Below are 24,937 nucleotides of genomic sequence, written 5' to 3'. Positions count from 1 at the left end.
AAGAGCGACACTCCATCTCGAAAAAAATAATAATAATAAAGTACACAATAAATGCTATGTGCTTGAACCATCACGAAACCATCCTTACTCCAGGGGAAAAATTATCTTCCATGAAACAAGTCCCTGGTGCCAAAAAGGTTGAGGACTGCTGCTTTAAATGACCTATTTATCTAATTTCCTAGAACACAGAGATTTAACAATGTTTTCTTGTCAGCTTCTTAACTTTTTCCAAATTCTGTGTTATACTCTAAGCCAGATACCTTTGTCCGTAATCGCTGAGCAATCTTCTCAAATTTGCCCTTGTCATGGAATTTAAAAGTGCGTCTCTGGCGCTGGGAAGGGGCAATGGAGACTCGGGGGTCAAAAAAGGTATTGGATTCCATGTCTTCTGATGGCTTTTCCTTTAGTTGTTGCTTGAATTGTTCCCTCTTCACAGCACGAATATTGGCTTTCAGAGTAGGCATGCGGTGTGTCAGCTCAATCTCCTTGCCTGTTGCATCTACAGTGCGCCCTTGCTCATCCAGGATCAGTGGTGTAGGTTTCGTTTGGTCTTTTAACTCCACCTTCCTGAAAAATAGCCCGCAAAGAAATAAATCCTGTATGGAACATTAAGGCAAGCAAAAAACAAAATAAAGCCAGGCGTGGTGGCTCAAGCCTGGAACCACAGCATTTTGGGAGGCCAAGGCAGAGGGATCACTTGAGCCCAGGAGTTAAAGACCAGTCTGGCCAACACAAGGAGACTGCATCTCAACAAAAAATTTAAAATTAGCTGGGTGCGGTGGCATATACCTGTGGTCCCACCTACTCAGGAGGTTGAGGAGGATCACTTGAGCCCAGGAAGTTGAGGCTGCAGTGCCTTCTCTATAAGAGTTATTTGGATGGACGGGTGTGGTGGCTCACACTGTAATCCCAGCACTTTGGGAGGCTGAGGCGGGTGGATGGCTTGAGCCCAGGAGTTCAAGACCAGCCTTGGCAACACAGTGAAACCCCATCTCTACAAAAAATACAAAATTTAGACGGGCACTTGTAGTCCCAGCTACTGAACCTGGGAGGCAGAGGTTGCAGGGAGCCGAGATCACTGCACTCCAGCCTGGGTGACAGAGTGAGACTCCCTCTCAACAACAACAACAACAAAAAGGACAATAAAATAATTCTAGGGAACAATCTCATCAGTGAGCAATACCATCTTTTTTTTTGAGACATGGTCTCACTCTGCTGCCCAGGCTAAAGTACAGTGGCACAATCACAGCTCATTGCAACCTCAACCTCCCAGGCCCAAAGAAATTCTCCCACCTCAGCCTCCTAAGTAGCTGGAACTACACGCATGCTCTACCATGCCTGGCTAATTTTTGTATATTTTAGAGAGATGGGGTTTTGCCATGTTGCCTAGGCTGGTCTTGAACTCCTGAGCTCAAGCAATCTGCCAGTCTCGGCCTCCCAAAGTGCTGGGATTACAGGTGTGAGCCACCGCGCCCTGCCAATAGTATCTTGATTAAAAATATCAAAGTGGATATTTCAGTATACAGGACAACCAAATGAAATGAGTTTATAAATTATATGAATTTATAATCCTATCTTTCCTTATCCCTGAATTCTTATGTCACTCATGGGATGCCAGACCAACTGTAGATGCTAAAAAAAATGTAACATCTTTGACCAGTTGCAGAGGAACCTCAGATCTAGTCTCACACAATGTGGTTTAATGGATAAATCTGAGTTTGAAACCAGGAAGGAAACCTGGCTATACTCCTAGCTCCAACATTAGATGAATAACCTTAATCTCAGTTATATAAATCATAAGAAGATAATAAACCCTCCAACAGGGAAGACGAGAAAAAATTCAACTGGTTAATCAATCACACCTAAGAAATATGAAACTGTGAGAAATGATCTAGGTTCTGTGGAAAAAGAGGATCAGTAATATTTTGTTTGTTGTTTTCTTTGAGCCGGAGTCTCCCTCTGTCACCCACGCAGTGGCACGATCTCAGCTCACTGCAACCTCTGCCTCCTGTGTTCAAGCGATTCTCCTGCCTCAGCCTCCCGAGTAGCTGGGATTACAGGCATGCACCACCACGCCTGGCTAATTTTTGTATTTTTAGTAGAGATGGGTTTTCACCATATTGGCCAGGCTGGTCTCGAACTCCTGACTCCTGACCTCAGGTGATCCACCTACCTCAGCCTCCCAAAGTGCTACGATTACAGGCCTGAGGCACTGCGCCCAGCCAGATCAGTAACATTCAAAGGTATTTATTGCTTCTCAAACTTCAGAAATGAAAAGGTATTCCATGAAATAGACACTCACGGGGGAGCAATGCCCATGGCATGGAGATTAGCCAGGCCCACCATGTTGGCATTGCCGATGAGTCCTGGCTTCAGTGCCAGCTGGGCTTGGATTCGAGCTTGCAGTTCAGCTGCTTTCCTTGCCTTCTCAATGGCATCATTCATGAAAGTGGCAGCCTGGGAGGGCTGAATAGTGTTGCCAATAGGAAGTCGTTCTGGTTGGGAGGAAGAAGGAGTCTTTGGCTGTGAGATAGAGAAAAAGAAATCAGAGGAATTAAGACAGGCAGACAAACACACATACATACACACAGATATACACACACATCATGGTAGACTGTAGCAGATGATTATGAAGTGAAACATGTAGTCACCTCTTCTAGTCTCTCATTTTGAGTGGATGGCAAGAAATTCTGTGCCAAAGATTATTCTGTTCAGAGTAATCTAGACACAATACCTGAGGTGTAGGGGGGCTAATGAAGCTCAGCTGTTTTTTCCTCTCCTCGATTTGTCGTGTTGCTGCCTCCATCATCTGTTTGATCTGCTCTCCAGGAAAAAAATTGAAAAACTGTTAATTTCTCCTTCTTACTTCTCCCATTCAGGTTTTTAAACCCACAAGGCTCTCAGGTCTAGACACTTAAAATGTTTTGAATGACTATACCACATTCTGCCTGCACCACAGTGCAAAAAATTTAGTCAAGATAAGTGAGCACTGGAATTTTTCAACCCATGTTCCTAAAGCAAGATTAGCATATTAGGTAGTAATATAGTGTGATGATTGAGACTCTGGAGTCAGAGAAACCTGAGTTTGAATCTTAACTCTGCCACTTAATGCCTTTGTTATCTTGGATAAGGAACTTAGTCTCTAAACCTCCTAAGTGTCTAGAAGGGGGAAGAAAACAGTACCTACCTTACAGGTCTAGTGTTAACCACTTAAATAATGCATGCAAACCTAACAGAACCTACACAAAATATTATACTTAATTTTCTTTTTTTTTTTTGAGATGGAGTCTCGCTCTGTCACTCAGGCTGGAGTGCAGTGGTGCGATCTTGGCTCACTGCAAGCTCTGCCTCCCGGGTTCATGCCATTCTCCTGCCTCAGCATCCCGAGTAGCTGGGACTATAGGCGCCCACCACCACGCCCGGCTAATTTTTTGTATTTTTAGTAGAGATGGGGTTTCACCCTGTTAGCCAGGATGGTCTCGATCTCCTGACCTCGTGATCCGCCCACCTCGGCCTCTCAAAGTGCTGGGATTACAGGTGTGAGCCACCGCACCCAGCCTATACTTAATTTTTTTTAAAAAATCATGATATTAGTACTTGAACTACTAGTTTGGGAAACAAGAGACGATGGTGCAAAGACCTGCTCCCTAGTCTCTATAAACCCCTTCTGTCCTAAAGAAGTTCAGAATGATAAGCTTTGAGGGTATGGCCAAACAACTCCTCTTACATTTTGCAAAACAGACCTGTTCTTAAACTGCTTCAAGATATTTTTAAACATTTGTCTTTAACATTTTTTCTTGAATAGGTGATATATTCAAAATTCAAAAATTACGGAAGGGTCAGGCATGGTGGCTCACGCCTGTAATCCCAGCACTTTGAGAGGCTGAGGTGGGCGAATCACTTGAGGTCAGGAGCTGAAGACCAGCCTGGCTAACATGGTGAAACACCGTCTCTAGTAAAAATACAAAAATTAGCCGGGTGTGGTGGTGGGCGCCTGTAATGCCAGCTACTCAGGAGGCTGAGGCAGGAGAAGCGCTTGAATCCAGAAGGTGGAGGTTACAGTGAGCCAAGATCATGCCACTGCACTCCAGCCTGGACAACAGGGGGAGACTCCATCTCTAAATAAGTAAAGAAAGAAAGAAAATAAAAAAATTAAAAATTACAGGGCTGGGCGTGGTGGCTCACGCCTGTAATCCCAATACTTTGGGAGGCTGAGGCAGGTGGATCACGAGGTCAGGAGATCGAGACCATCCTGGCTAACAGGGTGAAACCCCATCTCTACTAAAAATACAAAAATTAGCTGGACATGGTGATGCACGTTCTGTAATCTCAGCTACTCAGGAGGCTGAGGCAGGAGAACTGCTGGAACCCAGGAGGCGGACGTTGCAGTGAGCTGAGATCACGGCATTGCACTCCAGCCTAGGCAACAGTGCAAGAGCGAGACTCCGTCTCAAAAAATAAAATAAAATAAAATGAAAAATTACAGGCTGGGCCTGGCAGCTCACGTCTGTAATCCCAGCACTTTGGGAGGCCGAGCCGGGCGGATCACGAGGTCAGGAGTTCGAGACCAGCCTGACCAACATGGTGAAACCCCGTCTCTACTAAACATACAAAAAAATTAGCTAGGCGTGGTGGCGCGTGCCTGTAATCCCAGCTACTCAAGGGACTGAGGCAGAAGAATAGCTTGAACCCGGGAGGCGGAGGTTGCAGTGAGCCGAGATAGCGCCATTACACTCCACTCTGGGCGACAGAGTGAGACTCCGTCTCAAAAAAAAAAAAGAAAGAAACATAACAAAAGGATATGTTGTGAATACGTCCATCCCCATTCTCCATAAAAAACATCATTGGGCCTGGCACGGTGGCTCATGCCTGTAATCCCAGCACTTTGGGAGGCCGAGGCGGGTGGATCACGAGGTCAGGAGATCAAGACCATCCTGGCTAACATGGTGAAACCCCATCTCTACTAAAAATACAAAAAATTAGTCGGGCATGGTGGTACATACCTGTAGTCCCAGCTACTCAGGAGGCTGAGGCAGGAGAATGGCGTGAACCCGGGAGGCAGAGGTTGCAGTGAGCCGAGAACGCGCCACCGTACTCCAGCCTAAGTGACAGAGCAAGACTCCATCCCCCACCCCCCAAAAAAGAAAATAATTGGCTGGGCGTGGTAGCTCACGCCTGTAAGTCCAGCACTTTGGGAGGCTGAGGCAGGAGGATCATTTCAGCCCAGGAGTTCAAGACCAGCCTGGGCAACATGGTGGAACTCAATCTTTAAAAAAAATACAAAAATCAGCCAGGCATGGTGACCTGTAGTCCCAGCTACTTGGGAAGCCAAGGTGGGAGGATCACTCAAGCCCGGGAGGCAGAGGTTGCAGTAAGCCAAGATCTCGCCACTGAACTCCAGCCTGGACAAAAAAGTGAGACCTTGCCTGAAAAACAAAAACAGGCTAGGTACGGTGGCTCACGCCTATAATCCCAGCAATTTGGGAGGCCAAGGTAGGCAGATCACTTGAGGTCAGGAGTTCCAGACCAGCCTGGTCAACATGGTGAAACCCTGTCTCTACTAAAAATACAAAAATTAGCCGTGCGTGGTGGCACATGCCTATAATCCCAGCTACTTAGGAGGCTGAGGCAGGAGAATCACTTGAACCTGGGAGGCAGAGGCTGCAGTGAACCGAGATCGCACCACTGCGCTCCAGCCTGAGTGACAGAGAGAACATCTCACACACACACACAAAAAAAATCCATTTCTTTCCTTCTGTAAATATCACATATATGCAAATCCACCCACCCATATTTCTGTATATGTTCTATTACCCCCCTCAAATATTAAATGGTAAAAGAAACACTTATGTGGTATTATTTAACAATGCCAATTGAAAAAACACAAATACTTCCTGTTAAAAAAAAATAAAGTCAACTTAAAATTATTTATCAGTGGATTATATCTTCTTTGCATTATGTTTGGAGAGTCTCCTCTGTCATTAAGATGAGTTCTGATCATTTCATTTAATTTTCTCAATGACTCAACGACATAGGTAATTAGGCAAATAATGTACATAACACACTTTGCTTGCCACAGTAAATGGCAATTTCAATACCCTTACCTAGAATACTCCTGGTCAAATCAAAGAACGCTAAAACATAAAGCAGGAAATAAAATTTTCCCAAATGCTGGCCTGGCATGGTGGCTCACACCTGTAATCCCAGCCATTTGGGCGGCTGAGGTGGCAGATCACTTGAGGCCAGGAGTTCCAGAGCAGCCTGGCCAACATGACAAAATACCATCTGTACTAAAAATACAAAAATTAGCCAGGCGTAGTGGTGTTCGCATGTAGTCCCAGCTACTCCGGAGGCTTAGGCAGGAGAATCGCTTGAACCTGGGAGGTGGAGGTTGCCGTGAGCTGAGATCACGCCACTACACTCCAGCATGGGCAACAGAGTGAAACTCTATCTCAAAAAAAAAAGTTTACCCCAAATGCTAAACACTAATTCAAATCAAGATCACAATAAGGCGAGGCACGCTGGCTCACGCCTATAATCCCAGCACTCTGGGAGGCGAAGGTGGGCAGATGACCTGAGGTCAGAAGTTGAAGACCAGCCTGCCCAACATGGTGAAACCCTGTCTCTACTAAAAGAAATACAAAAAATTAGCCGGGCGCAGTGGCTCGCTCCTGTAATTCTAGCACTCTGAGAGGCCAAGGTGAGTGCATCACCTGACATCAGGAGTTCAAGACCAGCCTGGCCAACATGGTGAAACCCCATCTCTACTAAAAATACAAAAATTAGCCAGGCTTGGTGGTGGGTGCCTCTAATCCCAGCTACTCAGTAGGCTGAGACAGGAGATTTGCTTGAACCCGGGAGGCGGAGGTTGCAGTGAGCTGAGATCGCGCCACTGTATTCCAGCCTGGGTGACAAGAGCAAAACTCCACCTCAAAAAAAAAAAAAAAAAAAAAATTCCACAATAAATACAGACCCATGCACCTTTTGCTTCTTCAACTCACAAAACCACTTTGCTTCCAGTCCCTAATCACTAACCTGGAGCTTAGTCAGCATGCCAGGGCTCTCTGATGGAGGCCCAGGGATCACCTCTGGCTCTTCTTCCACCTCCTCAAAACGGGGTATTCGTCGCTTCTTTACTCCTGATGATTCTTTAGAGATCTCAGAGTCATCACCAAACACCTCCTAAGGGAACCCAAGATGAAAGAAAAGCTGTATCCCTCCCCGTGGGGAGAAGGGAAGAATTATCCTAGCCCCTACCAGCATTTTCTGGCTATTCCCAGGGGAATATGACACAACCTTGCAAATAGCCACCTGCCAGAAGCAGGGTCTACTAGACTCTCCATCTCACCCAACTTCAACATTCTCCTAATCCAGTCAAACAAATTTCATTCCCATGTTCTTATAAATGTTCCCATCTCAAGGTCTTTGCAAATGCTACTGCTCACATTTATAATGATTTCTCTCAACTTTTCCACAACCCCTGTTCCAAATCCTGCCTAAAACTCACCTCCTCCAAGAAGTTTTCCTCATTATAACCTATCCCACTCTGATTAAACTTTTGTTTCACATTCTCTTAGCGTGTAAGAGCTTGGTTCATATTAGGTTAAATTACATTGTTGATATTCTGTTTGCCAAGTGTTAAGTATTTCAATGTTAGTATAGTTTTCCCAACTAAGTCTAAGCTCTTCCAGGACAGGGGCTTTCTCTTTCTTCTTCAGTAATCCCCATTAACACTTTGTTTTCATCAAACAATGGAAACTCAAATATGATGACTAATTTGCAAGGTGAATTTAACAGGACCGAGAGTGGCCAACTGGAAGGGACAATGGGAAAAAGCAAATGTACACACCGGTGGTAGGCTTTGGGTGACATCCCCTCTTCACTAGGAGGGCTCGTGTTTTGCAAGGACATATCCTCGGCCAGGGGCGAGCGCTTCCTGGAACTCCTACAGTTCAAGAAAAAGGACTCTCCCATAATATATTGTGTGGGGTGGGGACCTGAATGGACCAAAAATGGGACCCGTATCCCAAGGCTATCTAGACACCTCCTTCAAGAAGCCATTTTTATTAATCCCACCCAATGTAGTCACTTCATTCACAGCATGCCCTCAGCACTCATACAGAAGTATGCCCTACTGGCCAGGCGCAGTGGCTCATGCCTGTAATTCCAGCACTTTGGGAGGCCGAGGCGAGCAGATCTTGAGGTCAGGAGTTCGAGACCAACCTGATCAACATGATGAAACCCCGTCTCTACTAAAAATACAAAAATTAGCCAGGCATGGTGGCATGTGCCTGTAATCCCAGCTACTCAGGAGGCTGAGGCAGGAGAATCACTTGAACCTGGGAGGTGGAAGTTGCAGTGAGTCAAGATTGCGCTACTGTACTCCAGCCTGGGCGACAGAGTGAGACTCACCCTTAGAAAAAAAAAAAGGAAAAAAAAAAAGAAGTATGCCCTATCGTGACATAATCTTCACTGTACAGATCTGTGTATACTGTGGATCAATCATTCCACCTTAAATATAACAAAATTCAACATAGGTCTGAAATTCTATAACCAACCCTAAAATTTACATGAAACTGCTACTTAGATTTTATAATACGTGAATATATATTTTGTGATACCCCTGCCTCTTCTAAATTGTAACTCCTGGGCTCAAGAGATCCTCTTGCCTCAGCTTCCCAAGTAGCTAGGATTACAGGCACATGCCACACTGCCTGACAAATTACAAATTGTTTTAAGGCAAGGACTATCTCTCCTTCTCTGACCACCCTACAATGCTCCAAACACAAAGGGCACAAATCTCTCTGCTTTTTTTTTTAGTTCCATAGCCTGGCCAGGGGACCAAGCAGACATTACTTATTCACTCTTTTCCCTCAGGAAAAGTAATGGGATAGCCAAGGTATCAGAAGAACTTTGGAAGGTTTGATAGGAGTCACAGAACTTTTTTTTTTCTCCTAAAGAGAGATACTGGGAAATGAGTAGAAAAATAGGCTACTTGATACTGCTAATACTGAAAGAGGCCAGGATCAGTCGGCAACTACAGAATAAAAAGTGTAGTAGTTAAGGGGGTACTGACAACTCCTCCAAGTGTTTCACTCATGGCAGCAGAGGACCAGCAATATGCCATAGAGCAAATGGTAAGCTCTCAAGAATATAATAAATAATAGTTATTTTTTGGTATTCTATCTACAAGTGCATTGCAGAGAAACCTCTACAAAGAGGCAACAATGAGGTGTACAGCTCAGGTACCAGTGGAGTCACATTCTAAAACAACTTATTAGGCCTCAAATAAATCAAAGATAAAATCTTAGAGCAATCAGTTTATAAGTAACAGTAAGAAGGAAAAAAAGGAAATATGGAGAAACATGAGAATCAAAACTCCTGTTATCTAAAAAAAGACAAAGCTGCCAATTATTTCTTTGGATATTTCAACCCATGAACTTAGAGGTAGTTCAGATGGTGATGACACTAATTCATCTCTCCTACTCTAATGTCTAAGTACCTCTCTTGAACATTTGCTGCTCTAAATAGAGGATATCAACGTGTGAACTGGTAAGCTCAGCAACTCTGTTACCATTCAAAACAGTCCTGAGCTCATTAGACAGTAAATTGTAACCTACCTTTAGCTCTCGTTTTCTGCTCCTGTCACTGCTAGACTTGGAATGCCTAGAGCTTCGGCCTTCCTCCACAGCCTCAAACAGTTTGTCCACAAATCGGAGAGTAGAATCATCAAGAAAAGGTTTCAGATGATCTGACAGGAAGAAAGGCGGTGGTAGGGTTGGAAAGGTAAGAGTACACAGTCTAATACTAGGCCTATAACAGGTACCAACACTGGAATTTTATTCCCAGGAGTGAAACAAATTTTAAGTTTTTTGTAGGATTCCCATCTCTCTTACACTAAATGACCTTGCCCTGTGAGGTGAAAATAGTTATAATTTTTTGGCGTGGGAAGTGGTGCAGTTAGAGCAACCTGTTTACCTTGAACATCAAGTTTGAGATGAATAACCACCCTCACCTTTCCCAAATAGCAAGTTGTAGAAGCCTACCATTAACAAAATCTACCTCCTTCAAGCTTTTTCATGTATTTCATAAAGATTTTTGTATGTTGAGATGTTCAGTCTGAATCTGAATATGCCTATCTGACTTAAGCATACTTCCTAAGTAAATCTAACTTAGGTGACTCAGTATGGTAGCCAAACGAAGATTTAAAATCTATCATAAATAACATAAAAAATAAGCAATTAAGAGAAAAAGCAAATTATTATTTAGCCTATTTTCACTATAATACAGGTGAAAATAAAATATGGCCTGCCATTTTTTTAGATGTTCCCAACAGAGAGAATTTTGAGGAAGTTCAAAGCAGTGTTTGGGGTCACCCTATATGTTAAGATAAAAGATGCAGAAAGGTACATACCGGCTGCCTTCTTCTTGTCCATGCCCTTCCCCACACAGTTCAATGCTGCTGTGACCACCGTAGGCTCTGAGAAACCCAGGACCCTCTTCACTGTCTTCTCTATCCATGGTTTCAGCTCATCCAGCTCCCTCTTTGACAGTGCCATTTTTCAGGAAAAAGAGAACAATAGCTCAAACAGGACTCAATACTACACCTAAAAAAAAAAAAGAGACAAGTTAGAGAATAAGAAAAGACTAAAGTGGGCTGGGTGCAGTGGCTCATGCCTGTAATCCCAGCACTTTGGGAGGCCAAGGTGGATGGACTGCCTGGGGTCAAGAGTTCGAGACCAGTCTGGCCAACATGGTGAAACCCTGCCTCTACTAAAAATACAAAAAAATTAGCTGGGCGTGGTGGCATGTGCCTGTAATCCCAGCTACTTGGGAGGCTGAGGCAGGGGAATAACCAGGGAGGTAGAGCTTGCAACAAGTCAAAATCGCACCACTGCACTCCAGCCTGGGCGACAAAGCAAGACTCTCTCTACAAAAAAAAAAAAGACTAAAGTGATCCAGGGAAATGGTTAGTACATCAGGAATGCATTCCCCAGCCCTATTCTCAATCCCTAGACAAGTTTTTCCAACTCATTTGAAGGCAAATATTTTCCCCAAGAACCATATCTCAAAGCAGAAAGAGATCCCATTTGATTTTTAATTCTAACTCTTAAGTTGATCAATGAAATCTGCGGAATAAACAAACTCTGTGAATAAGCTAAGTCTGAGAAATTAGTTCTAGCTTCTTTCTTGATCCTGTCATATCAACAAGGACTTGCAAACCTAGTAACACTAAAACAGAACTAAAAAAGCCCATCCAGAGGCCAGCTTTTCCATTCTTCCTACTTCCAGGCAGGCATTCCCTAACCCAACCCTGACTTATGTAGGATTCCCTTCTTTTAAGGTATGCAAGTAAAAGAGGGTTTATCCAGGTCAGTCATCTTAGATATTAAATTAAATCTCATGATCTTTAAGAATGTTCTGGCCGGGCGCGGTGGCTCACGCCTGTAATCCCAGCACTTTGGGAGGCTGAGGCAGGTGGATCACGAGGTCAGGAGTTCAAGACCAGCCTGGCCAAGATGGTGAAACCCCATCTCTACTAAAAACTACAAAAAAATTTAGCTGGGCATGGTGGCAGGCGCCTGTAATCCCAGCTACTCGGGAGGCTGAGACAAGAGAATCACTTGAACCCAGGCAGCAGAGGTTGCAGTGAGCCAAGATCGCGCCACTGCACTCCAGCCTGGGCAACAGAGTAAGACTCCGTCTCAAAAAAAAAAAAAAAGAATGTTCTGTCACATTTCTCTGTGGTCATATTCATCCCAGTGGGAATTCTGCATACAGGTAATTATCATGTTCAATCTACAGGGTCTCCATCAGCTGACTTGATGATCCTTCAGCTCAGAAAAGAATACCCTCATTTTTATTTTGAGACAGAGTCTCACTCCGTCGCCCAGGCTGGAGTGCAGTGGCGTAATCTTGGTTCACTGCAACCTCCATCTCCTGGGTTCACTTGATTCTCCTGCCTCAGCCTCCCAAGTAGCTGGGACTACAGGCATGCACCACCACGCCTGGCCAATTTCGTAGTTTTAATAAAGACACGGTTTCACCATATCGGCCAGGTAATGCCTTACCTCAAGTGATCTGCCCACCTTGACCTCCGAAAGTTCTGGGATTACAGGCGTGACCCACTGCACCTGTCTCTACTAAAAATACAAAAATTAGCCAGGTGAGGTGGTGGGCACCTGTAATCCCAGCTACTTATGAGGCAGAGGCAGGAAAATCACTTGAACCCAGGAGGCGGAGGTTGCGGTGAGCCAAAATCATGTGCACTCCAGCCTGAGCGACAGAGTGAAACTGTGTCTCCAAAAAAAAAAAAAAAAAAAAAAAAGCCAGGTGCGGTGGCTCACGCCTGTAATCCCAACACTTTGGGAGGCCAAGGCGGGTGGATTATCTGACGTCAGGAGTTCGAGACCAGCCTGGCCAACATGGTGAAACCGCATCCCTATTAAAAATACAAATATTAGCTGGGCGTGGTGACCTGCACCTGTAATCCCAGCTACTCTGGAGGCTGAGACAGGAGAATCCCTTGAACATGGAAGGCGGAGGTTGCAGTGAGCCGAGATCGCACCACTGCACTCCAGCCTGGGCGACAGAGCAAGACTCCGTCCCGGGGAAAAAAAAAAAAGGTGTCTAAATGGGAGTCAATAAATTGACTGACCTCAATTTCCAAGCTCAGCTATTCCCAGCAGTGCCACTTATCAAAGATCTGGGAATCATCTTTCAAGATGTTTTAAGACATCTTTTCTCCAAAAAATCCAGTCTGATTAACTTCTACATTCTTGGTAAGTTTAGCCTCTATACTAGAGTCTATAAGACTTGATGCCAAATAGACTCACTTTTGGTATATCCAAAGGAAGCTAGTAGATTGAAGTGATGAAACTAAGACTGAAAGATTTTCTGCCTCAGTGACAAGTTACGTGAGTAATTCTATGGTGGTTCTATTACCCCACAATGAGTAGACATACAGCGTACCAATTTCTACATATTACACATGTATTGCACAAAAGCGGCATATCCAGATGCCATAGAAAGTGAAAACAAGAGTTCACACAGAAACAGTTGGGACACTGAGCCCCACCATTTACAAGCCCTTGGGCAAGTTAAGTAATTCTTTGGAGCCACAGTTTACCATCTTACAAAATGAGTACTGCCATATTTACATCCTAATTCATTCAATAAATATTTATTGAGTAACTACTAAGTGTCAAGCAATGTACTAGGTGCGGTGGATACATAAAACAGTGAGCAAAACTAACAAGAGTCCTCACCTTAACGGGTCTTATATTCCACTAGAATTGAATGATAGGCTAGAAAGTATAAGCAATTTGAAAGCCCAAAGCAATAAATGAGGTGCCACTGTTACCTCCATAAGATGACGTGCAAACTAAACAGCCAATGGATAAAAAAGTTTCAAACGGTAATTAGCCTTGTCACTAATCAAATGCTCAACAATAACTGCGAGGTGCGGGGGTAGTGGGGGTGCGGAAGGAAAGCGAGGTACAATGATCTCTCCTCTCAATGAGCAGGCAGCAGAATCCAAATCCAGTCTTCAGAAGGAATTCCTTACTCCGTGCTCTTGTTTGCTACAACCTGAGTTTCCCTCTGCAGCCCCCCACTCCCCCGCTAATCTTCATTTTTACTCTCTCCGTCACTCCAACCAGTCTCTTACTCTACCTTGTTCTACCTAAACTCCTCACCCCAGAGCTGGTCTCCCAACCCGGTCTCCTTCCCGCCCCCGCCCTTTTCCTCTCAACAATCTCATTCCAACCTCTTCTCCCACCAAACCAGGTACTCCTTTCACACTCCTTCCCGCTGAACCCTCCCGCTTCGGTCCTCCCCTTGGACTGAGTCCCCGGCCACAGTGGCGCGGACTGGAATTACCCTCTGTGGGCCCGGGGCCACTACTCACCTCACAAACTTCAGCCCCTGAGACGGAGCCCGAACGTTACACCGGAACCGGAAACCTTCTGACCGCCCTACGGCGTGCCGTCGCTACCGCCACCGCCGCCGCCACGCCGCTGTCTCCCAACACGTGACCAAGGAGGGCCGGGCCGCCAATTCGCGCAGCCGTATTTGCCACTTTCTTGGAGGCTGAACGCATGCGTCGCAGAACCGAAAAGTTTCCCTGAGCAATTTCCTTGCTTTCTATTTCCCAGGCTAAACCTATTAGCTAGATTTCTGCCAAGGTTTTTTTTTTAGCTTTTTTTTTGAGACGGAGTCTCGCTCTGTCGCCCAGGTTGGAGTGCAGTGACGCGATCTCGGCTCACTGCGAGCTCCGCCTCCCGGGTTCACGCCATTCTCCTGCCTCAGCCTCCCGAGTAGCTGGGACTACAGGCGCCCGCCACCACGCCCGGCTGATTTTTTGTATTTTTAGTAGAGCCGGGGTTTCACCGTGTTAGCCAGGATGGTCTCGATCTCCTGGCCTCGTGATCCGCCCGCCTCAGCCTTCCAAAGTGCTGGGATTACAGGCGTGAGCCACCGCGCCCGGCCGATTTCTGCCAAGTTAATGTCTTTAACTTCCTGAAGCGGAAATTGGGCTACTTGCTGTTTTCCTCATATGGAGAATAAGTGCGCAAAAGTAAACTTAGGCTAGAATGAAGAGCGAGGCTTCTGCGTTTGTGTTCAAACACAGCCTTTCTGGTAGAAAGTAAACCCTTTCTCCCTAATTTAACAGTGGTGTCAGGCCGGGCGCCGTGGCTCACGCCTGTAATCCCAGCACTTTGGGCTCAATAAATGACAAGTGAGACCTACCAGTATTGTTTTCTCCATTCTATCAATAGGTCTATATATTAACTTCTCTCCAAAATGAGGCTCTAACCTACTGACCCTTTATTTTTTATTTTTATTTTTTATTTTTTGAGACGGAGTCTCGCTCTGTCGTCAGGCTGGAGTGCATTCGGCTCACTGAAACTTCCGCCTCCCGAGTAGATGGGACTACAGGCGCGCGACCACCACGTCCAGCTAACTTTTGTATTTTTAGTAGAGACGGGGTTTCACCATGTTGGCCAGGATGGTCTCCATCTCTTGACCGCGTGATCCGCCCACCTCGGCCTCCCAAAGTGCTGGGATTACAGGGTTGAACCACCGCGCCCGGCCCCTACTGACTCTTTAAATCGATGATTCATAACAACATGTGTGTGGACAAAGATAGTTTGGAAAAAGATTGTCCAGTATTATGACACAATTTCTTATATGAGAAATGGAAAAAATTCCATTATTTTTATATTATAAACTATCCAAACTAAAGTTCCAAAATGTCTTCTTGGTGGTAGGCTGACTAGAAGATGCAGTTGTTCTTCAGGGAGGTTATTCACATTCCCCAGATAGTAGGAGATTTTTGTATCTAAAGATAACAATGTACATACCAAGCCCCACCTTCCCTGATGGGGCAGCACGACATAACAGGATAAAGCCTGGCTCTGAAGGAACAAGTTGGGGGAGTTTGAACCTACTGCTCAACTTATTCACAAATCAGTTTCCCCACCTACAGCTTCTAACACCAATGTCTCACAAAATATTCACTCAAAAAGTCTGTTGAATGGGTTAATGAGTTTCAACATTGCAGGGTTGTTGTAAATTTATTTTGTTTTGGTGCTTCTAACAGTCTGCGTTCAATTCCCTATGGAGAAATGTGTTTCTAGAAACTGGTTTTAGGCCAGGTGTGGTGGCTTACGCCTGTAATCCCAACACTTTGGGAGGTCGAGGCGGGTGGATCACTTGAGGTCAGGAGTTTGAGACCAGTCTGCCGACATGGTGAAACCCCATCCCTACTAAAAAAAATGCAAAAATTAGCTGGGTGTGGTGGTGGGCACCTGTAATCCCAGCTACTCAGGAGGCCGAGGCAGGAGAATTGCTTGAACCCGGGAGGTGGAGGTTGCAGTGAGCCAAGATCGCGCCACTGCACTGCAGCCTGGGCGACAGAGGGAGACTCCATCTCGACAAAACAAAACTGATTTTATTTCCAATTTTTAGAATTGGATACATTTAAACTGTAGCTTTCCGGTTACTAGCTGTGTTTCCTTCAGGTAATTTTTTCTGAGATTGTTTCCTCAATTATAGAATAAGAATCTCTACTTCAAAAAGGTATCGTGAGGATTAAATGTAATGTGTAAGACACAGTGTGGTACTGGCGTAAGAACAGGCAGGTAAACCAACAAAAGAGAATAGAGGGTCGGGCGCGGTGGCTTACGCCTGTAATCCCAGCACTTTGGGAGGCCGAGGTGGGCAGATCACGAGGCCAAGAGATCGAGACCATGCTAGCCAACATGGTGAAACCCCGTCTCTACTAAAAATACAAAAATCAGCTGGGCGTGGTGGCACGCGCCTGTAGTCCCAGCTACTCCGGAGGCTGAGGCAGGAGAATCACTTGAACCCGGGAGGTGGAGGTTGCAGCCAGCCGAGATTGCACCACTGCGTTCCAGCCTGGTGTCAGAACGAGACTCTGTCTCAAAAAAAAAAAAAAAAAAAAGGAAGAATAGAGAGCCCAGAATAAACACTCACATATATGGTCAGCTGTATTTTTTTTCTTTTTCTTTTTTGAGATGGAGTTTCGCTCTCATTGGCCAGGCTGGAGTACAATGGCGCGATCTCGGCTCACCGCAACCTCCGCCTCCCAGGTTCAAGCAATTCTCCTGCCTCAGCCTCTGGAGTAGCTGGGATTACAGGCAAGCGCCACCACGCCAGGCTAATTTTGTATTTTTTTTCTTCTTTGTTTTGAGACGAGTCTCGCTCTGTTGCCCAGGCTGGAGTGCAGTGGCACAGTCTCAGCTCACTGAAACCTCCGCCTCCTGGGTTCAAGCAATTCTTCTGCCTCAGCCTCCTGAGTAGCTGGGACTACAGGTGTGTGCCACCACGCCCGGCTAATTTTTTGTGGTTTTAGTAGAGACGGGGTTTCACCGTGTTAGCCACGATGGTCTAGATCTCCTGACCTCGTGATCTGCCCGCCTCGGCCTCCCAAAGCGCTGGGATTACAGGCGTGAGCCACTGCACCCGGCCTCATTTTGTATTTTTAGTAGAGACGGGGTATCTCCATGTTAGTCAGGCTCGTCTCGAACTCTGGACCTCAGGCGATCTGCCTGCCTCGGCCTCCCAAAGTGCTGGGATTACAGGCATAAGCCACCGTGCTCGACATTTTTTTTTTTAGACGGAATCTCCCTCTGTTGCCCAGGCTGGAGTGCAGTGGCTCAATCTTGGCTCACTGCAACCTCCACCTCCTGGGTTCAACCAATTCTCCTGCCTCAGCCTCCCGAGTAACTGGGACTACAGGCGCATGCCACCATGCCCAGCTAATTTTTTTGTATTTTTATTAGGGGTTTCACCATATTGGCCAGGCTGGTCTCAAACTCTTGACCTCGTGATCTGCCCACCTCAGCCTCCCAAAATGCTGGGATTACAGGCATGAGCCCCTGCACCTGGCCATGGTCAGCTGATTTTTGACAAAGGTGCCAAGGCTATTCAATGTGGAAAGGACAGTCTGTTTAACAAATGATGCTGGGAAAAGCAGATATCCACAAACATAAGAGTTAAATTGGACCCCCTACCTCATACCGTATACAAAAATTAATTCAAAATGGATCTAAGACCTAAATTTAAGAAATATACAAAAACTAGAGGTCGGGCACAGTGGCTCACCCCTATAATTTCAGCATTTTGGGAGGCTGAGGCTGGAGGATGACTTGAGGTCAGGAGTTCAAGACCAGCCTGGCCAACATGGTGACTCAATCCCCGTCTCTTCTGAAAATAGAAAAATTTACCAGGTGTGGTGGCACACTCTTGTAGTCCCAACTACTTGGGAAACTGAGGCAGGAGAATCGCTTGAACCCAGGAGGCAGAGGTTGCAGTGAGCTGGGATCACGCAACTGCACTCCAGCCTGGATGACAGAGGGAGACCCTGTCTCAAATAAGTAGATACATACATAAAAGTAGGGCTGGGCACAGTGGCTCACATCAATAATCCCATGCAACTGCACTCCAGCCTGGATGACAGAAGGAGATTCTATCTCAAATAAATAAATGTAGGGCTGGGCACAGTGGTTCATATCTGTAATCCCAGCACTTTGGGAGGCTGAGGTGGGTGGATCACTTGAGGCCAGGAGCTCTAGACCAGCCTGCCCAACATGGTGAAACCCCATCTCTACTAAAAATACAAAAATTAGCTGGGCATCGTGGTGCATGCCTGTAATCCCAGCTACTCAGGAGGGAGGCACTAGAATCTCTTGAACCTGGGAGGCAGTGGTTGCAGTGACTCAAGATTATCCCACTGCACTCCAGCCTGGGCCACAGAGTGAGACTCTTTTTTTTTTTTTTTTTTTTTTTTCGGAGACACAGTATCGCTCTATCCCCCAGGCTGGAGTGCACTGTTGCGATCTCAGCTCACTGCAACCTCTGCCTCCCAGTTTCAAGCAATTCTCATGCCTCAGCCTCCCGAGTAGCTGGAATTACAGGTGCCCGACATCACGCCCGGCTAATTTGTGTATTTTTAGTAGAGATGGGGTTTCGCCATGTTGGCCAGGCTGGTCTGCAACTCCTGGCCTCAAGGGATCTGCCTGCCTTGGCCTCCCAAACTGCTGGGATTACAGATGTGAGCCACTGCGCCCAGCCTGGGGTGAGACTCTTGTCTCAAAAAATGCCTAAAACTAAGGAGCAATAACTGTAAAACTCTTAGAGGAAAACACAGGAGAACAGGAGTGTATCTTTTTGACATTGGATTTGGCGATAATTTCTTGGATATGATGCCAAACATACAGGCAAACAAAGGAAAAACAGATGAATTGGACTTCATCAAAATTTAAAGTTTTGTGCATTAAATGACACTATCAACAGAATGAAAAGGCAACCCACAGAATGTGAGAGAATATTTGCAAGTCATATATCTGATAAGAGATTAATATCCAGAATATATTAAGAACACTTACAACTCAACAACAAAACAACCTAATTCTTTTTTTTTTTTTTTTGAGACAGAGTCTGCTCAGTCACCCAGGCTGGAATGCAGTAGCACAATCTCGGCTCACTGTAACCTCCGCCTCCCAGGTTCAAGCAATTCTTCTGCCTCAGCCTCATGCCACCAGGCCCGGCTAATTTATGTATATTTAGTAGAAACAGAGTTTTGCCATGTTGGCCAGGCTGGTCTCAAACTCCTGGCCTCAAGTGATCCACTGGCTTCGGCCTCCCAAACTGCTGGGATTACAGGTGTAAGCCATCGTGCTGGTCAAAACAACCTAATTCAAAAACAGGTAAAACACTTGAATATATGTATGTTCAAAGAAGACAAAAAATGGCAAATAAGCACATGGAAAGATGCTCCACAGCATTAGTTATTAGGGAAATGCAAAGCCAAACCACAAGGAAATACCACTTCACATCCAGTAGGATGGCTACTATAAAAATAAAATAAAATAAAATAAAATAAAAGAGGTCAGGTGCAGTGGCTCATGCTTGTAATCCCAGCACTTTGGGAGGCCAAGGTGGGTGGATAGCTTGAGCCTGAGAGATCAAGGTGGCAGTGAACTGTGATTATGCCACCGCACTCCAGCCTGGGTGACAGAAAAGGAAGGAAGAAGGATCCAGAGGGAGGAAGGGAGGAAGGGAGCGAGGGAGGGAGGAAGGAAGGAAGGAAACAAGTTGGAACTCTTGTGCCCTATTGGTAATATAAAATGGTGCAGCTGCTATGTAAAACAGTATAGTAGTTCCTCAAAAAATTAAAAATAGAATTTTCAGATGACCCAGCAATTCTACTTCTGGGTATATACCCCAAAGAAATGCAAACAAGGTCTCAAAGATATATCTGTACCCCTGTGTTTATAGTAGCATTATTCACAATAGCCAAATAATGGACGCAACCCAAGTGTCCATCAACAGATGAGTAGATAAACAAAATATGGTATATACATACAATGGAATATTATTCAGCCATAAAAACAAATGAAGTACTGATACATGCTACAACACAGATGCTAAGTGAAATAAGCTAGACAAAAAGGGCAAATATTGTATGATTCCACTTTCGTGAAGTAACTAGGATAGCCAAATAGAGACAGAAAGTAGAATAGAGGCCATGAGGCGCTGGAGAGAGATGAATGGGGAGTTAACGCCTAATGGGTACAGAGTTCCTGTTTTGGGTGATGAAAAGTTTTGGAAACAGTGGTGATGATTATACAACATTTACTTAATGGTACTGAATTGCATACTTAAAATTATTAAAATAGAAATTTCGTGTATGTATATTTTATCACAATAAAACAAAACGTATTTAGGACCGGGCCTGGCACATATTAAGACTTAGTAGATCGTATCTGTTGTCATAGATTCCTTCAATAAATATTTACTGAGCATTTAAATGTTGGGCATTATACAAAGCACTGGGAATACAGTGGTAAAAAAGGCCAGGCATGATGGCTTATGCCTGTAATCCCAGCACTTTGGGAGACCGAGGTGGGAGGATCACCTGAGGTTAGGAGATTGAGACCAGTCTGGCCAACATAGTAAAACCCTGTCTCTACTAAAAATACAAAAATTAGCCAAGCGTGGTGGCATGTGCCTGTAATCCCAGCTACCTGGGAGGCTGAGGCAGAATAATTGCTGGAACCCAGGAGGCGGAGGCTGCAGTGAGCTGAGATCTCCAGCCTGGGCAACAGAGCAAGACTCCATCTCAAAAAAAAAAAAAAGAAAGTGTGCTATTATAGAAGCAAATTTATAAAGGTAAACTCAAGACATAAAAAGATAATACAAAGTTGGTAAAGGCATCAAGGAAGGCATGTTAGAAAACATTCCAGGGTCAAGCGTGGTGTCTCACATTTGTAATCTCAACACTTTGGGAGACAGAGGTGGGTGGATCACTTGAGCCCAGGAGTTCAAGACCAGCCTGGGTAAAATAGCAAAACCTCATCTCTACAAAAAATACGAAAATTAGCTGTGTGTGTTGGCATGCGCCTATAGTCCCAGCTACTTGGGGAGGCTGAGGTGGGAGAATCACATGAGCCCAGGAGGTCAAGGCTGCAGTGAGCCATGATCATAGTACTGTACTCCAACCTAACCAACAGAGTAAGATCCTGTCTCAAAAAGAGAGAGAAAAAAAAATCCAGCTGAATGCTGGTGGACTGGGGAGGAGAGAAAACAGCATGTGCTGTGATCCAGAAGTGCATTTCAGGGGAAAAATGGGTAGAGAGAAAAGCAGGGTTCAATCATAAAGAGCCTTAAATGCCATGCTAAGTGGTTTAAAGTGGTTTAGATTTTGTTTTGAAAGCAATGGGAACCAATGGTCAGTTTAAGCAGGAAAGTGAAAGGATCAGAGTTGCATTTTAGAACAATCACTCTGGCCAAAGCGTGAATAGATTGAAGCCAGACAACACTAAGGTAAGCCGATAGTCAAATAGCTGTTGTAGTAATCCAGAAGAGTCATGATGGTAGCTGGGAGTAAGGTCGTGGCGTTTAATCATAGAGATAGCCAGAAGGGATTAAACACATGCTAGTCACGGCTGAATGGGGAGGAGGAATCAAGGATCAGGTATCTGGGCTGGGCGCTGTGGCTCACGCCTGTAATCACAGCACTTTGGGAGGCAGAGGCAGGCAGATCACTAGAGCCCAGGAGTTCGAGACCAGCCTGGGCAACATGGTGAAACCCCATCTCTACAAAAAATACAAAAATTAGCCAGGTCCAGTGGCGTGCGCCTGTAGTCCCAGCTACCTGGGAGGCTGACGCAGGACAATCACTTGAGCCTGCGAGGCAGAGGTTGCAGTGAGCCAAGATCAAGCCATTACACTCCAGCCTGGGTGACAGGAGTGAAATGCTGTCTCAAAAAAAATAAATAAATATAAATAAATAAATAAATAAATAAATAAATAAAATCAGGTGTCTGGCTGGCACAACTAGGGGACTATAATTAATTGCTCACATCCATTGTGTTCTGTGTGCCAGACACTATGCTAAGTACTTGACATGCATTCCATTATTTCATCCTCATTAAAAACCTATAGATGCTGGCCTGGTGAGTTGGCTCATGCCTGTAATCTCAATACTTTGGGAGGCCGAGGCAGGTGGATCACTTGAGGTCGGGAGTTCGAGACCAGCCTAACTAACATGGAGAAACCCTGTCTCTACCAAAAATACAAAATTAGTCGGGCATGGTGGTGCATGCCTGTTAATCCCAGCTACTCGAGAGGCTTGAGGCAGGGGGCGGAGGTTGCGGTGAGTCAAGATCACCATTGCACTCCAGCCTGAGCAACAAGAGCGGAACTCCGTCTCAAAATAAATAAAAATAAAAATAAAACATAAAACAAAAACTATAGATACCATTATCATTATTATTATTATTATTTTTCAGACGGAATCTCACTCTGTCACAGGCTGGAGAGCAGTGGCACAATCTCGGCTCAATGCAACCTCCACCTCCCAGGGTCAAGCGATTCTCCTGTCTCAGCCTCCTCAGTAGCTGGGACTACAGGTGTGTGCCACCACGCCCGGCTAATTTTTTGTATTTTTAGTAGCGATGGGGTTTCACCGTGTTAGCCAGGATGGTCTCGATCTCCTGACCTTGTGATCTGCTCGCCTCGGCCTCCCAAAGTGCTGGGATTACAGGCGTGAGCTACCATGCCCGGCCCCATTATCCTTATTTTACAGGGGACACAAGGGTTTATGTTAAATAAGATACCAAGATCATGATGGAATCCAGATTTTTTTTGACTAAGTAAAAATTATATATGTAAGGTAGCTGACACATAGTGGAAGTTCCAGCATTTCCTTTTCCCTTCAATTACCTATGTAAACACTATTCCTTAACCTTGTTAGTATACAGTGAGTGATTATTCCTTAGCATTCTCACTTAACATACAAACTCTTATTTTGTAAGTGGTGCACTTCTGAAAACTTGAAAGTGCAGTGTCAAAATTACTCAACAGAGCTGGACACAGTGGCTCATGCCTGTAATCCCAGCACGTTGGGAGGCCGAGGAGTGCGGATCACGAGGTCAGGAGATCGAGACCATCCTGGCTAACATGGTGAAACCCCGTCTCTACTAAAAATACAAAATATTAGCCGGGCATGGTGGCAGGCACCTGTAGTTCCAGCTACTCGGGAGGCTGAGGCAGGAAAATGGTGTGAACCCAGGAGGCGGAGCTTGCAGTGAGTGGAGATCATGCCACTGCACTCCAGCCTGGGCGACAGAGCGAGACTCCGTCTCACACACACACACACACACACACACACACAAATTACTCAACAGAGTCCCAATTTTAAAGGGGTAGCTGATTCCAGAGCACTAGATTACGAGATCTTTAAATTATGATTGGAGCAGGCCTGTCAGAGGCACTTCACTAAACAGGTAAGAGATTTCATAGGTGCCCAAGTTTAGGGTAGGAGGTACTTACCTATCATTCTGTAACTGGGTAAACAGCAAACCACCCCTCCTCTGAAATCAATGCAGGGATTAAAAGATTAGTGCAACCCCTACTCATTAAACTACCATGCAAATTATCTTCTAGCTTCCCAGAGCAAGGAGTGGAAAGTTTTTCTCCCTATCATCACAGCATAAGCAGATTGGAACTTTATCCAGCCACTTATCGCATTTATGAGGCCTCTCAACTGGCTAGCTGCTAAAACCCATCATTGTTCATTGCTCTAGGGGAGCATGGGCAATAGGACTGAAGATTAAAACAAGCGGGGGATAATTTTTAGAGACAAAGAAAATTTCAAATCTCAGCCACCTCTTAGTATTTTGGAGGGAGCTCAGAAGCAACTTTAGCCCCAGGAGAATAATGCCAAGTAACAGGCCTGATTCTGTTATCACAAACATGCCTTACCACTGTGGTAGATGACACTATATTATGGCTCAATATCATTAAAATGTACTAAAGACCAAATTCAGATTTATTTTATTTTATTTATTTATTTTTGAGACGGAGTCTCGCTCTGTCACCCAGGCTGGAGTGCAGTGGCGCCATCTCGGCTCACTGCAAGGTCTGCCTCCGGGGTTCACGCCATTCTCCTGCCTCAGCCTCCCGGGCGCGGTGGCTCACGCCTGTAATCCCAGCACTTTGGGAGGCCGAGGCGGGTGGATCACGAGGTCAGGAGATCAAGACCATACTGGCTAACACGGTGAAACCCCGTCTCTACTAAAATTAAAAAAAAAAATTAGCCACGCGCGGTGGCGGGCGCCTGTAGTCCTGGCTACTCGGGAGGTTGAGGCAGGAGTATGGCGTGAACCCGGAAGGCGGAGCTTGCAGTGAGCCGAGATCACGCCGCTGCACTCCAGCCTGGGCAATAGAGCGAGACTCCGTCTACAAAAAACAAAAAAAAAGGTAGTGACGGAGTTTCATCGTGTTAGCCAGGATGGTCTTGCTCTCCTGACCTCGTGATCCATCCTCCTCGGCCTTCCAAAGTGCTGGGACTACAGGCGTGAGCCACCGCGCCCGGCCTCAGATTCAGATTTAAAGGTGACTCAGAAGTGTCATATCTTGTTTGTTAAGACTAGGTTGTATAAAGGGAACAAAGTTGAAGGCAGCCTGTATACAGATTTTCTCCAAAATGAGGGAAAGGAGCAGATCTATTTCTTTTTCCTTTTTTTTTTTTGGGGACGCTCCGTTGCCCAAGCTGGAGTGCAGTGGCGCGATTTCGGCTCATTGCAAGCTCTGCCTCCCGGGTTCACGCCATTCTCCTGCCTCAGACTCCCAAATAGCTGGGACTACAGGCGCCCGCCACCATGCCCCGCTAACTTTTTTGTATTTTCAGTAGAGACGGGGTTTCACCATGTTAGCCAGGATGGTCTCGATCGCCTGACCTTGTGATCCGCCCACCTCGGCTTCCCAAAGTGCTGGGATTACAGGCGTGAGCCACTGTGCCTGGCCAGCACCAACTTTTAAAAGAGACCGAGTCTTGCTCTGTCGCCAGGCGCGATCTTGGCTCACTGCAACCTCCACCTCCTGCGTTCAAGTGATTCTCCTG

At 45.5% G+C, this 24,937-nt stretch overlaps 1 protein-coding gene across 14 annotated transcripts in view, besides 3 other annotated features; it reads right to left on the bottom strand.

Annotated features, from left to right (window-relative positions):
• The window catches only part of PRPF3 (pre-mRNA processing factor 3), a 31,766-nt gene extending 17,732 nt beyond the window's left edge, over positions 1–14,034 (bottom strand). For 9 of the 14 annotated variants that reach the window (NR_146766.1, NR_146768.1, NR_146769.1 and 6 more), the window contains exons 1-7: positions 13,910–14,034; positions 10,415–10,607; positions 9,621–9,751; positions 7,036–7,182; positions 2,735–2,818; positions 2,303–2,523; positions 261–567 (exon numbers count right to left, since the gene is read on the bottom strand). Coding sequence is in view for 8 of the 14 variants with exons in the window: in XM_047434009.1 (XP_047289965.1) it covers positions 261–567; positions 2,303–2,523; positions 2,735–2,818; positions 7,036–7,182; positions 9,621–9,751; positions 10,415–10,559 (1,035 nt within the window). In the remaining 6 variants the exon portion in view is untranslated. Of the gene's footprint in view, positions 1–260; positions 568–2,302; positions 2,524–2,734; positions 2,819–5,003; positions 5,051–7,035; positions 7,183–7,849; positions 7,946–9,620; positions 9,752–10,414; positions 10,608–13,363 lie in introns of those variants that run through there. The other 5 variants (NR_146767.1, NM_001350529.1, XM_047433995.1 and 2 more) reach the window with 4 other exon arrangements.
• Positions 13,871–13,920: an enhancer, noted in NCBI's record as "active region_1683". NCBI's record gives its function as "activates an Ori minimal core promoter by ATAC-STARR-seq in GM12878 lymphoblastoid cells {active_cell/tissue: GM12878}" and the evidence as "EXISTENCE:reporter gene assay evidence [ECO:0000049][PMID:35858748]".
• Positions 14,111–14,160: an enhancer, noted in NCBI's record as "active region_1682". NCBI's record gives its function as "activates an Ori minimal core promoter by ATAC-STARR-seq in GM12878 lymphoblastoid cells {active_cell/tissue: GM12878}" and the evidence as "EXISTENCE:reporter gene assay evidence [ECO:0000049][PMID:35858748]".
• Positions 14,290–14,855: an enhancer, noted in NCBI's record as "H3K27ac hESC enhancer chr1:150293095-150293660 (GRCh37/hg19 assembly coordinates)". NCBI's record gives its function as "activates a minimal SCP1, AML or CMV promoter by ChIP-STARR-seq in primed H9 embryonic stem cells {active_cell/tissue: H9 hESC(primed)}" and the evidence as "EXISTENCE:reporter gene assay evidence [ECO:0000049][PMID:30033119]".

This window comes from Homo sapiens, chromosome 1 (genome assembly GCF_000001405.40).
Source record: "Homo sapiens chromosome 1, GRCh38.p14 Primary Assembly".
NCBI classification, from domain to species: Eukaryota; Metazoa; Chordata; class Mammalia; order Primates; family Hominidae; genus Homo; species Homo sapiens.
The sequence above is the reverse complement of the archived record's forward strand: the minus strand, read 5'-3'. Positions and strand labels throughout refer to the sequence as shown.